General features: G+C 36.7%; 1 protein-coding gene across 28 annotated transcripts in view; it reads left to right on the top strand.

Moving 5' to 3' along the window:
• Nucleotides 1–14,990, top strand: part of PDE4D (phosphodiesterase 4D) — a 1,553,091-nt gene that overhangs the window by 1,525,607 nt on the left and 12,494 nt on the right. For all 28 annotated transcript variants that reach the window (XM_024446112.2, XM_024446110.2, NM_001364599.1 and 25 more), the window contains 5 exons: nucleotides 3,057–3,150; nucleotides 4,518–4,690; nucleotides 5,620–5,718; nucleotides 6,603–6,767; nucleotides 7,930–8,029. In XM_024446112.2, the coding sequence (XP_024301880.1) occupies nucleotides 3,057–3,150; nucleotides 4,518–4,690; nucleotides 5,620–5,718; nucleotides 6,603–6,767; nucleotides 7,930–8,029 (631 nt within the window). The remainder of the gene's footprint in view (nucleotides 1–3,056; nucleotides 3,151–4,517; nucleotides 4,691–5,619; nucleotides 5,719–6,602; nucleotides 6,768–7,929; nucleotides 8,030–14,990) is intronic.

The raw sequence follows: 14,990 nt of genomic DNA, 5'->3' as shown, positions 1-14,990 counted from the left end.
GCAATGGTGAAAGCTTTGCCTCATCTCCTATCTTTTATGAAAAAAAAGACTTTGTCATGACCAGGTAGTTCTTAATAGCAACTTTTAGCTCATAACATGAACAATTTTAGGTCAAAGAGATATTTCATTGAATGTGTGTTTAAAATGTTTAGCAGACTCTTTTCTTTGGAATATGCTTTGCCTAATGAGTATATTTTTCCAAGTGTGAATTTATCTGTAAAGCAAATTTTTTTTAATTATTATACTTTAAGTTCTGGTATACATGTGCAGAACGTGCAGGTTTGTTACATAGGTATATACATGCCATGGTCGTTTGCTGCACCCATCAACCTGTCATCTACATTAGGTATTTTGCCTAATGCTGTCCTTCCCCTCCCTACCCGCTCATAGGCCCTGGTGTGTGATGTTCCCCTCCCTGTGTCCATGTGTTCTCATTGTTCAACTCCCACTTATGAGTGAGAACATGTGGTGTTTGGTTTTCTGTTGCTGTGTTAGTTTGCTGAGAATGATGGTTTCCAGCTTCATCCATGTCCCTGCAAAGGACGTGAACTCATCCCTTTTTATGGCTACGTAGTATTCCATGGTATATATGTGCCACATTTTCTTAATCCAGTCTATCACTGATGGACATTTGGGTTGGCTCCAAGTCTTAAGCAAAGAGTTTTTTAAACCTGTGTATGCATGACATTTTAGCTGTGCTTTTGAGACATAGCTATGGTTTCCCATACTAATGCTATTCCAAATTCTTTATGGGATTTGAGAAAGAGGAGCTAGCTATTTAAGTAACTATTTTTATGGTTATAACTACAGTCAAATCCTTCATCTGTCTGACCTGCAATGATAAAAATCAGCTATTACTTTAAAAGGCCCAAAAGTTATGGACCAAGTGCCAGAAAGTGAGCTGGGAGAAAGAACTCAAATAATATTGAGCATCTACTATGTGCCAGGCTAAATAGAAGACACTTCTATATTAGCTCATTAAATTATATGATAGCCCATAATTTACTCAAGAAAATATAACTTTGTAAAGAGGGACAGAAAAAATTTTGAACTCTATTATAAATGTCTACAAATATTCTTAGAAGGCCCAAAGTTTATTTTTTTCAGTAGGTTATAAGATATAATGCTGAGTGAACACAAGCAGTAACCTATGTTCTGTATACCACCTGATGCCAGTTTTAAAAATATGTATTCACATACAAGGGTAGAAAAAAGGCATAAAAGGAAATTTAACAAATTATCTGTGGTTATCTTCCAGCAGTGGGGATTTACATTATTTTCTTTTTTTTGGTATAGCTTTCTACATTTTCTATAGCACATGTACATTTTATAATTAGAAAGGAGTTATAAAAACATATGAACAAAGAAGTGAATTTAGTGTTCCTGAGTTTGAGACTAAGCTTTCTAGACCAGTAATTTAACAACCAGAATTTGTACTGGTCATGCCAGTTCTTTGTTTTTTTGTTTGTTTGTTTGTTTTTTCCCCAGCATTTATTTTATTTTTATTATACTTTAAGTTCTAGGGTACATGTGGGAATTGAACAATGAGAACACTTGGGCACAGGAAGGGGAACATCACACATTGGGGCTTGTTGTGGGGTGGGGGGAGGGGGGAGGGAAAGCATTAGGAGATACACCCAATGTAAATGACGAGTTCTTTGTTTTTGACTACGCTGGCATGCGAATACACATTTCTCTCATCCAACAGTCCATTGAAATGGTTGAGGGTTTTTTGTTTGTTTTGATAACAGTTAAATGCGGAGTTAAAACTTAATCTAGATGGTCTATAAGATTGACTTTGGAAGTTATTTAGCAAACGGTATAGAGTTAGGCCATCTTGGTATGAATTATGCAGAGAAGCAAAATAATTCTAAATAATTAAATACTAAGAATTATATTTCAAACATCACTAAAATATACATTCAACACTTACCTTCATACTTAAATGAGAATTTATGGTGAAATTTCAAATTTTAAAGGCTAATCTGATGATTAGAGTAAATGCATCTGACTTTTTTTTGTCAAGTATCTAATAGCAGTTACTCTATGTGTAGAAAAAATACATTGTTTCTGTATATTAAGGCAAATATTAAAGGCTTATTAAAAGGCCTCGTCGGGTTGTTTTCAGAGTCAAAGGACTCTGAAATGCTTAATGCTTAAGAAACAGCTGATGGGGGTGGGAGAAGTGTAAAATCTTTGGGAGATTTGGATACTGGTAATGCCATGTGGTGTTGGTAGGTTAATTCCAGTGTTTCTTTCAATGAAATAGGCACTATGGCATCAGTAATAAAAACTGTGAAGTAGATTGTTGAAAATTGACCTGTTTCCTATTTAGTGACTTGGGAAAATGGTAAATTTTGTGGATGTTGAGAAACAATAAGTGTTATACTCTTACTTGAAAAACAACTTTTAAAAGGAAACATTATACAGTATTTATTTAAATATTTTACTTCTCCATAGTCCTGGAAGAGTACTCAAGTCTATTAAGTTTTGCTTTGGAGTAAAAGACTAAATTTTGAGCCCTTGATCAGTATATATATTCATTTCTGCTAATGATAAATTAATTGAAGAAAGCATTCCATGTTTTATTGTATGGCAACACTTTTATGTGCTATAAATTAGTTTCTCTCTTCTCTAAATAACTAATAATACATCTTAATTTTTAATTCCCTTTTCTTTGCTTATTTCTCCTGATTTTCCCTTCAGCCCTTGGGAGTCTAAATTTGTGCTGGTCAGTCTGGTGGCCATGAGCCACATGTGATTATTTAAATTAAAAGTAGTTAAAATTAAATAAAATTCAAAATTTGGTTTCTCATTTGCACTAGCCACATTTCAAATGCTTAGTAACCACCTGTGGCTAGTGACTGCTATAATTGGCAGCACCGATTATGGTGTTTTCCCCTCATTGAAGAAAGTTCTGCTGGAAGGCACTGTTCTAAATTGTCAGGACAACTTAAAAATTCTTTGGGCATATCTTCCTGTATCTCAGAGTATGCATATATATTTCACTTAAATTTTCCTCTTCTATTATTTCATTTTACTTTTCTGTTTTTCAGTTTAAAAGGATGCTTAATCGGGAGCTCACCCATCTCTCTGAAATGAGTCGGTCTGGAAATCAAGTGTCAGAGTTTATATCAAACACATTCTTAGGTGAGAATAACAACATGCAATTAAATTTTTTTCTTCAGTTGTTTGCTTGTTTGTTTTTGTAGGAGGATTGGGGTGCCAACTCATTTTGGAAACCAAACAAGTGTTAGAAGTTCTATTTGTTTTCATTCGTCATATTAATAATTCGACACTATCCGCCTCTGAGTTTTAGAGTTGCAGGTGACAAGGTACATTTTCTTAGTTTTATTTAGGACTTTAGGAATTCTTGAATTAAGATTATATATTGCCATTTTTTCATAGTACCAAACTGTAAAATATATTTTATAGAGAGATCTATTCATATCTTCAACAAATTCTTATTAAATGCCAGCCATTGTTGGGCAATAGGTGTTTAATGATAAATTAGAAATGATTCCTGCCCTCGATGAATTTACCGTCTTGTGTACATCAAGCCTAGTAAACTGGTGGGCAGATAAAATACAATTGCTAAATAAAAGTTTGCTAATAATAGCTGAGTTTGGTGTCCTGGGACAACTCTTGTACCTCATCCACAGAAAGAAAATGCAGTAAATAAAGGTCAGTAATTTGAATGTATCCTGGACTTACTTTCAAAACAAAATTGCTGTTATATATAGTTAACATTTATTAAACACTTAGAATATGTTCTATATATAAGGATGAGTTAGAGTTGCTCATCACTGCCTTGAAATCGTGGATGAAAGTAAGAAGATATCTTAGGTCTTTTACTATAGAACACAATTAGCTTATGTACGTATTCACTTATCAGGTAATATTTATGATTCTCTATGCTCCCATAAAACCTGGGGATTTAACCCTTATCTCACTATCATACAGAAATAAAAAGTAGCAGAATTAATCTAAGTCATCCAAAACCTGCTGTTTCAGCTCCCACAGTGTTACCCATTTCAGTTAGCTGTTAGTTTTATATACTGCTGTTTTCATGACATTTGCGTATAAAGTTTCTACCATTTCAAAGTATGTATTGAAACTGTAGTCCTTAGTTGGCAAGAACAATATTCAGTTCATTAAGTCAGTTTCACAAAGGAATGGAATTGAACAGTGGAAATAACCACCTGTTGTGTATTCTGAGTCTGCTGTCATGCTAAGTCTTGCAGCATTTTTTATTAGGACATTGTATCAAAGAGGTAACCATGGAATACATTTGATATTATTATTTTGTAATGGAACTTATTTGCTTAATTTTGTGTTTGAAGACATCAAATTAAGTCCAATTCAAATGTAAATACTGAACTCTCTAAAAGGAAACTTTTTAGTTGGAAACATTTCCTGGAATATATAATGATCAATTATAATCCTTCCAATTATGCATATGATATAAAACAGATAGAATTAATAATAAATATAGAACATTTTCTAAATTTCTCAAGATAAGCAACATGAAGTGGAAATTCCTTCTCCAACTCAGAAGGAAAAGGAGAAAAAGAAAAGACCAATGTCTCAGATCAGTGGAGTCAAGAAATTGATGCACAGCTCTAGTCTGACTAATTCAAGTATCCCAAGGTTTGGAGTTAAAACTGAACAAGAAGATGTCCTTGCCAAGGTATGATGATTTCAAAGATCAGGATCATAAATATTAAATGATGCCCTTTCATGAATTTTCACTTCTAGTCTTTTAAATGGATAGAAAAGTTTATTAATTGGGGTTTTTTTTTTTTCTTTTTTTGAAGATGGGAAGGCATTTTATAAAGCTCCTTTTAAAGTGCCTTAGACAGGTGGTTTGGTATGTTTTAGGGGTTTGGGGGGTGATTATTTGCATCTTCATTTCATTGTTTGGCCTTAAAGAGTTAGAAATCTGTCATGTCTTCTGGGTTTTAGGAAAACAGTTAAGGTTTTGTGAATAGATTTTATCCATTAAAGAAGTGCTTTGTGATTGATACTTAAAAAGTACATAAATGTGTTGTAATGTCAAAGTCACAAGGTTAAGCCATACTGTTCAATTTTCAGTACATTTAAGTAAATGTGCCTAAAGTTTGCCTATGCTTACATGGTGTGTCTGTTAACATTTAAAATGAATCATTGTTTAAAACAATCTAACAATCTTTACACTGAAGTCTGTTTTGTTTTGTTTTGTTTTGTTTGTTTTGAGACATAGTCTCGCCCTGTCACCCAGGTTGGATTGCAGAATGCAGTGGCGCGATCTTGGCTCACTACAACCTCTGCCTCCTGGGTTCAAGCAATTCTCCTGCCTCAGCCTCCCAAGTAGCTGGGATTACAGGCACACACCACCACACCTGACTAATTTTTTTTATTTTTAGTGGAGATGGGGTTTCACCATGTTGGGCAGGCTGGTTTCAAACTCCTGACCTCAAGTGATCTGCCCGCCTCAGCCTCCCAAAGTTCTGGGATTACAGGCTTGAGCCTCTATGCCCGGCCACCTAAGGTCTGTAATTTTTAAATGATTGTGTTCATTGAGTCATATTTTACTCCACTTTCTAATATTTTAGTATCTTTTTTTTTTTTTCACTCCAGGAACTAGAAGATGTGAACAAATGGGGTCTTCATGTTTTCAGAATAGCAGAGTTGTCTGGTAACCGGCCCTTGACTGTTATCATGCACACCATTTTTCAGGTAAGGTGGTTGAGTTCTATTACATTTATTTTATTTAGGAACTTAATGTCCAGTCTGTAGCTTATGCATACATTTTGTCTTTTTTAATATTCCCCACCTTTTGCTTATTTTTATACTTTTATCCTTATTTGCTCCTTTGCCAAGGGACAAGTAAAGATACAGAAAGGTGGAGTGTGGATAAACCACAAATAACATCAATTTTGTTATTTTTTTTGCATTTAAGAAAAAGATGTGATATAGCCAAATTGAAGCAATTTATTAAAATAATAATTTAGACATCATCTTAGTCATCTGAACCTGACTGCATAGAGAATGGAGTACTAACTTAAAAAAAATGAATAAAGCCCCTGCTGGCTACTAACCTTAGAATATAGTTTTTTCAGTCACTTTCTTGTGTCCTGCTTCTTTCTTCATATCCATTTCTCTCTCTTATTGACCCTTTGCTCCAGCTTAGGGTGGGATTTAAATGAGAAGTTGAGGCTGCTGTAGATATCTCGGGACCGAAATGGGAAACTTCAGCCCTAGAGAGGACGTTGATTTTTAGTTGGTGTGATGCAGGGGTTGAGTTAATAGTGCTTGACTGGAGCTGCCTCCATGATAATGGGACATAGAAACTTTTAGAGTTGGCACCTCATTCCTGACACCATACAGCTAGGGCGTAGTATTCTTGGGTTCCAGCAGGACAACCCAACTCTGGTTTTGTCCCAGAGTCCCTGGATCTTCTCAGAGGTTCCCATTTTCCTCACTAGACATGTGAGAGTGCAGTTGCCATTTCCAGGTTATCCACTGGCAACACTGGTGTGTGATTTTTTTTTTTAAACATACTCTATGGAGAAATTTTTCACATAAAGACAAAAATGTTAAGATGATTTTTTTTCCTACAGGAACGGGATTTATTAAAAACATTTAAAATTCCAGTAGATACTTTAATTACATATCTTATGACTCTCGAAGACCATTACCATGCTGATGTGGCCTATCACAACAATATCCATGCTGCAGATGTTGTCCAGTCTACTCATGTGCTATTATCTACACCTGCTTTGGAGGTAAATCTGTTTCTGAAATTTCAAGAACACTAACTTGCCACTCATAAAGGTCTATTAAACTTTTATCTGAAGGGTTTTCAATGGAGAAGATAATTGGATTCATTGGAAGTATAACTTATTGACTTATGGGGGAAAATGCTATAGTTAATAGACAATCAAGTCTTTGATGGATTTTGCTTATGAAAGTTGGTCACAGATTTAGTGATTGATCTGTTTATGATATTGCTTCTTTGAAATGATCCACTGAACATTTCATAAAGCACATCTGGCTTACTCACTTTTTGTTCATTTGTTTTCTTGAAATCTAGTCTGACGGCTTTTATTTATAGGCCAAAGAACGTTTTATAAAACATAAGCAATATATTGATATTTTTTCATAGAATATATTAGAAGGACATACTTTAATTTTTCTAAATCCTAAGAAGTTATTTCATTAGTTGTTTACTAAAGCAATTTGATTTTCTTAAGAAATATATTTTATAATTCAGTTTGTTTTCATTATAAAATTATGTTAATACCTCATCATATGGGTGAGTGATTCTCAACTGGAGATGGTTTCTCTTCCCCTTTCTTTCCCTCCTGCCACCACCAGGGACATTTGGCAATGTCTGGAGGCATTTTTGGTTGTCACAACTATCACATTTTTAGTTGTACATGATACTGGCATCTTGTTGGTAGAGGCCAGGAATTCTGCTAAAAATCCTACAATGCACAGGACAGCCTCCCACGCAAAGAGTTATTGGGCCCAAAATGTCAATAGTGCTGAAGTTGAGAAACCCTGGTTTCGATGAAAGAAAATAATTGCTAATGTCTTACTAATTTTATGTACATTTTCAGAATATTCTTAGACATCTTAAATATTTAGAAAATAAACTATTATTTTCTTTTAAAATAATTTCAGAGTTTTAAAATAATATTTTAAAAAATACAGTGAATGGAAAACATTTGATCATGAGATGTAATAAAATTAGATAAAATATTTTCTTCCAAGATTATACTTTAAAAGTTCACAAGTATCTAAGACTCTCCCTTGACACATTGTAACACATTTTGAAGCTTCATTTTGTTTTCCATTTAAATTCTAGAGATTTCTTATTTGTTTATACTTTTAATTCATATCATTGTAGAATAGTAATATTATCTATATTGTCTGATTTTCCAGGCTGTGTTTACAGATTTGGAGATTCTTGCAGCAATTTTTGCCAGTGCAATACATGATGTAGATCATCCTGGTGTGTCCAATCAATTTCTGATCAATACAAGTAAGTAAACTTTATTTTTTCAGAACACATTTTTCCCTTGTACATTTTAGAATGACTAAGGGTCTTTATAAACTCAGAGTCTTCCAGAGCCATAATGTTCTTTTGAGATGTGTATATATGTGTTTTAGTGATAGTTCATGTTAATGTAATTTAACTGAAAATTATCATTATATCCCTTGAGGCATGTGATATTTGAAAAATGTGTTCCAGTTCTCTTTAAAAGTAATATATTGCTGTGTTACTAGACAAGGGTAATTAAAAATGAAAGTGTGCAGAAAGATTTAGAAAGTTGTATTGGCCCTAAAGTTTTAAATTAAAAAAAAAGTTATGAGAATTAATGGTAAGTGTTCCTCACTTTATGTAGGTCATCATTTAATCCTCTTCAGAGGCCATAGCTTCCCTTCCTCCTCCATGCCCAACCCCTGTTCTTTCCTTTTTAAAATCTTCTAATAAGGGTAACAGGAACTTCTTAATATTTTTTCAACCATTTGGTTTTTTCTCACTGTTAACATCTCACCTTATAAGAAGTCATCACTGAATTTGGAAATATAAGGAATAGTAGAGACTGTTTAATATGGAGCATCTCTGACATTGCCGCACAGAAAGCCTGTGTAGGGAATGTTTAGGTAATGCTTGAGCTATCCCTTGGTAAAGAGATTTAGGTTTATAGAAATTCTATTTGGTACTTGAAGTTAATTGGTAAGTGATTTAAGTGAACTATGACTTAATTCCCTCCCATATGGTAGATTATAAATTATGGTAGATTATAAAATCATAAATTCACTTTTATATATAAAAAATATGCAAAGTTGTTGAAAATGTTGTATGCTTAAGAATCCACCTTTCTTTCATTTTTGCTTGAGGCTATGAATAATAGTCTTCTCGTGCCTATAGCAATCTAGCTATAGAATTATTTATGAATTCACCATTCATTTCCTGTACTTTGCTGTAGCCAGATTTAAAGAAGGAATGTAGAGGTAACCTTGCTTTGAGAGATTTAATTCAGAGCTTTAGGATTATTTACCTATTTTTATATCTTATAATGGCCTCTGGACTATCCTATAGCAAAATATACTCTAATGACTCATCCATGTAGAGGACTGGAAAAGTCAGGGATTTCCTGAGATGTGTGGTTAGTCAAGTATTTTTTTACAAGTTTAGTTTAGGAACTTATTTATCCAGATTAGACAGGATAACATTTCATGTTCTACCTACCTATGAGCACCTATAATGAGGTACTTTTAGAACTCATCAAAGCATACATACAAATATTAATATACATTGGATGCAGCTCCCTGCATTTACATGGTATCAGTGGGGAGGTATCAGTGGGGAGGGTTCATTATGTCCTTTCTAAGAAGAGCAGGGAGGTCATGCAATACAGTGCATGCTGGCACTTTACATGAGCCTGGCCTGATTTATTTTGATGCTTATGAATGTCTTGAGATATTCTGAATTTTATCAATTTTTAGTAAATACATAAAATGTATTTTTACATAAAATTTTTGTGTTAAAGGTATATATATATATCTATCTTAAACACCAAACATTCAAACTGGTATGTTTTCTTTGCATTCTGTTATATAGCATATTATATGTTCCCTTAGAATTAAGAGTAGATTTAGAAGACAAATTAAAACAACTGATAGAAAGGTCACTGTCTTCCAAGTACTCTGATACATTTTTTAAGGGTAATGAGGACCTGCTCTATTCTTCATTCTTTTGAGCCCTTAAAGCAGCAGTCTCCAATGTTTTTGGCACCAGGCACCAGGTTTTATGGAAGACAATTTTTCCATAAACTGGGGGCGCAGGGAGAGAATGGTTTTGGGATGAAACTGTTCCATCTCAGATCATCAGGCATTAGTTAGATTCTCATAAGGAACGCACAACCTAGATCCCTTGCATGAGCAGTTCACAGTAGGGTTCACGCTCCTAGGAGAATCTAATGTCCCTGCTGATCTGACAGGAGGCGGAGCTCAGGCAGTACTGATGCGGGCTTGCCTGCTGCTCACCTCCTGCTGTGCAGCCCAGTTCCTGACAGGCCACGGACCGATATTGGTCCACAGCCGATGGATGGATCGGGGACCCCTGCTTTAAAGGGCACTTGGGCTTTGACTGGCACCTGGAGGACCCTGGCATCAGGGTCCCTGTGCAGTCTGCCATTTAAGCTAACAAGGCCTCAGTCTACAGATGAATCTGATACTCTAAAGTTTGAGAACCAATGAAATAGTGGAGGAAACTGAAGAAGATAATTTTATCTCCTTAGGATGTCTGTTTAAAGTCATTTTGCTGGTGACCTGCCTGGGATGGAAGGATAACTAATCCTGCCGCTGCAAATTCTTTCTTTGTTATTTAGTAATATTGCAATGATCTCCTTTCTGTGTGACCACAGCGACATAGGGAAGTTCACAGTTGCCAGAGTAGCTTTGGATTGCTAAAGTTTTTTTGACGATGAGGTGTGATGAGGCTGTGTTATTCCTGAGGGAATGAATCAGCATTGTCACTTTGTACAGGAAAGTATCCCAGGGTTGTTCCGGGCCCCAGGGCATTATCAAAATTACAGCCTTAGTTAGTTTGGTTTGGCTAGGGATCATGTAAGAGAATTATCTTCCCAGCATGCAGTAAAGGAATCCTTCTAATAACTTGTAAACTTGTGATATGTAGCTTCGTGAAATATTTTATCAAAATTTGTGCTTATTTTTAGTTTGCAGTAAACCTTTTTTAAAATTTGACTTTTTATATTTTATGGATGGCTTGAGCATCCATGTGTCAAGCCAGCACATTCTCAGCTCTTGCCTCAGAGCTGGAGCTGCCATCCTGTCCAAAGCCTGCAGCTGAATCCATATTTCTCATAATAAAGAATTCTAAAGACCTCTGATTATCAAATTTATAAACCCATAGTTGGTTACTTGTCTTACTTTAAGGAAGCTACGGAAGCACTGAGAGCTTAAGGCACATGGGGGGCGCTGGGGATTCCCTTGGCTGGTTCCCAGGGCAGTTAATCCTCCTGCTTCTTACATGTGCTCTTCGTTTTTCTTAATTATTTCAGTTGTTTTAGCTTTAGGTGCCAAATGATTTTATACTAATTGTATTTACACTCGTTGAAAGCATGCTGGAGGTTCTGCAAGCAGAGAGAACAATTCTACCTGGTAGAGTTGGTTAAGCTATAATAAATGATTTGAGTGTGGGTACTGTGAACAGGATTTAGAGAAATTGAAATTTCAGGCAGGAAGCTGCGTAAATATTTTTAAAGGATGATGCATATAAATAAATCCATAGGCCAGGTGCAGTGGCTCACTCCTATAATCCCAGCACTTTGGGAGGTCAAGATGGGTGAATCACTGACGTCAGGAGTTCGGAGACCAGCCTGGCCAACAAGGTGAAACCCTGTCTTTACAAAAAAAAATACAAAAAAATTAGCCAGGTGTGGTGGCGCATGCCTGTATTCCCAGCCACTCAGGTGGCTGAGGCAGGAGAATTGCTTGAACCTGGGAGGTAGAGGTTGCAGTGAGCCGAGATCATACCATCACACTCCAGCCTGGACAAGAGTGAAACTCCATCTCAAATAAATAAATAAATAAATAAATCCATAAAATGTAAATAGCAGCATGAACTTTTGAATATAAAATGCTGGAGGGTATATTTAACTTAGCTTTATTTTCTGAAAAAAAGTATCAAAAGTACAGAATATAGCATTAAATTTTACTTGGCAAATGAATTATTTTTGTTAATAGCAAAGATGCCTAAGTTTGGGGCAGAAAGATTTATTCACATTAGTGATGCATTCAAAGCATGCGGTTTTTGGTTTCCAAGAGCAGAGGCATTTCATTATATTAAGGTTAAGATGTATCTAGCTGTCAGTATACACTTTTTTATTTCTCTACTTTTATTTTGAAATTAAAATTTTCATAGCTACACTAGTAGATTGTATGTAGAATTTTATTTTTCTGTATAAACCCACACCTTCAAAATAAGGATAAATTCATGTTTATCAAATGTGATTATATAGATATAGCTACAGAGATTATTTTATTCAACAAAAATGTACTGCAAGCCTACTAAATGTTATAATAAATATTATTTCAGGCACTTAGGACACATGGGTGGACAAGACAAGACAAATCCCTGGCTCTTAAGAGCTGGCATTCTGCTAGAAAAGGTGGAGCATAATAAGTGAATTTATGGCATGTGATGGTACTAAGTGCTATGGAGGAAAATAATGCAGGGTGAGGGCATAGAGAGTGGAGTGATGAATGAGGCAGTTTTCTTGACAACTGAATATTAAGTTAAAACCACCACTTCCCTCTGTCATTTCATGGAGAAATGTTTGTTTCTGAAGTCCTTTTGAAGATTTATGTTTATTTCAGTTGTAACTTAGAGACATGGTGTAGCATGCTGTCATTTTCTAACTAACTCAAGGCTAAGCCTAGTAAAGCTGTAAGAACAGTGAGTGTAAGTCTTACTTACAGGATACATATCTATAGTGTCTGCCCCAGTCTTAACTGTTTCAGCTCCAGGTCTTAATATTGGCTCTGATCTGCCATGTGGACTCCATCATAAGACACAAAAAGGCACAATACCTAGTGGACTTAGTTGGATTTGGGAGGCAATGTATTCCTTCTTTGTGTGTGTTACTCTGGCCCATTTACTAAGTGATCTGAAAAGCTGCTAGTTTAGATGGGGCACAGAACAAGAGAGTGTCACAAAAACTGCTAGTTTTGAGTGGGGCTCTACAACAGGTCCAGCCTGCTGTGCAAGCTGCTCTGCACATGGGCCACATGATCCAGCAGATTTAATGGTGCTTGAAATGTCAGTGGCAGATAGGAATGTTGTTTGGAGCCTTTGACAGAGCCCTCTGTGTGAATCACAGCACAGACTCTGGAGCAAGACCCTGCCATCATCCAAAGAAAGATAACTAACTACTCTCCTTTTGAAAGAAAGATATAGGCCTGCTGCTGGGCCTTAGGAGATACTGACTGACTATGGGCCACCAAGTTTCCATGTGGTTTAAGCTGTCTGCCCATCATTAATAGGGTATTATCTAACGCGCCAAGCCATATGTTGGGCATGTACGACATTTCATCATCAAATAAAAGTAGTGTAATACACGATCTATCAGGTCCGAGCAGACACTAAAGGCACAAATTACATAAAGAAGTGGCCCTAATGCCACTCCTATTAATTACACTGCCTTCTTTCTCCCAGCCTACACATGTGGTCGCATGGAAAGTTCCCTGCAAGTAGTTGACAGAGGGCCTGGTTTACGGATGGTTCTGCGTGATACGCAGGTACCACCGGAAGTATACAGCTGCAGCACTACTGCCCCTCTCTGGGACATCTCTGAAGGATGGTGGTGAAGGGGAGTCTTTCCAGTGGGAAGAACTTTAGGCAAGGTGACTCGTTGTTCACTTTGCTTGGAAGAGGGAATGGCCATATGTGCAATTATATACCAGTTCATGGGCCGTAGCCAATGATTTGTCTGGATAGTGAGGGACTTAGAAGGAATATGATTGGAAAACTGGTGAGAAAGAAATTTGGGGAAGAGATATGTGAATGATCTCTCTGAATGGACAAAAAAGGAATGCTCACCAAAGTGTGACCTTGGCAGAGGAGGATTTTAATAACCAAGTGAATAGGATGACCCATTCTGTAGATACTAGTCAACTTGGTTCCCTAGCCACCCCTGTCATCACCCAACATGCTAAGAACAAAGTGGCCATGGTGGCAGGGATGGAGGTGGCAGGATGTGCTTAGAAACATGGACTTCCACTCACCAAGGCTGACCTGGCTATGACTATTGCTAAGTGCGCAATCCACCAGCAGCATAAACCAACACTGAACCCCCATATAACACCATTTTGGGGGGATCAGCCAGCTACCTGATGGCTGGTTGATTACATTGGACCACTTCCATGGTGGAAAGGGTAGCATTTTGTCCTTAGTGGAAAAGGCACTTTCTCTGGAAACAGATGTGCCTTCCCTGCAGTTTTTCTGCCAAAACTATGGTATTCCATACAGCATTGCCTCTAACCAGGAACTCACCTTACTGGCAAAGAAGAGCTGCACTGGGCTCATGCCCATGGAAGTCCCTAGTCTTACCATATTCCCTAACATCCTGAATCAGCTGGCTTGATAAATTGGTAGAATGGCCTTTTGAAGACTCAGTTACTCAGCTAGGAGGCAAGACCTTGCAGGGCTGGGGCAAGGTTCTCCAGAAGGCCATAAAGGCCATATATGCTCTGAATCAGCATCCAATATGTGGTGCTATTTCTCGCATAACCAGAATTCATGGGTCCAGGAATCATTGGATAGAAATGGGACTGTTACGACTCATAATTACCCCCAGTGACCCACTAGCAAAGTTTGCTTCCTGTTCCTGCAAATTTATGTGCTGCTAGCTAGAGGTCTTAGTTTCAGAAGGAGGAATGCTTCTATCAGGAGACACAACAGTGATTCCGTTGAACTGGAAGTTAAGACCTAGCCACTTTGAGCTCCTTATGCATCTGATTCAATCATCCAAGAAGGGCATTACAGTGTTGACTGGGGTGACTGATCCTGACTACCAAGGGGAAATTGGGTTACTACTCCACAATGAAGGTAAGGAAGAGTATGTGTGGAATAAGGAGATCCCTTAGGGCATCCCTTAGTATTAACCATGCCCTGTAATTAAGGTCAGCACAAAATAACCCAATCCAGGCAGGACCACTAATAACCCATACCCTTCACGAATGAAGGTTTCGGTCACCCCACCAGGTAAAGAATCATGACCAGCTGAGGTGCTTGCTGAGGGAAAAGGGAATACAGAATGAGTAGTAAAAGAAGGTAATTACAAATACCAGCTATGACCATATGACCAGTTATAGAAATAAGGACTATAATTGTCATGAGTATTTTCTTATGAATGCATTTATATGTATATATACATATATTAAGCATATATCTTCATTTTCTTTTTCTTATT

The sequence above is a fragment of the Homo sapiens genome, chromosome 5, assembly GCF_000001405.40.
Source record: "Homo sapiens chromosome 5, GRCh38.p14 Primary Assembly".
NCBI lineage: Eukaryota > Metazoa > Chordata > Mammalia > Primates > Hominidae > Homo > Homo sapiens.
The sequence above is the reverse complement of the archived record's forward strand: the minus strand, read 5'-3'. Positions and strand labels throughout refer to the sequence as shown.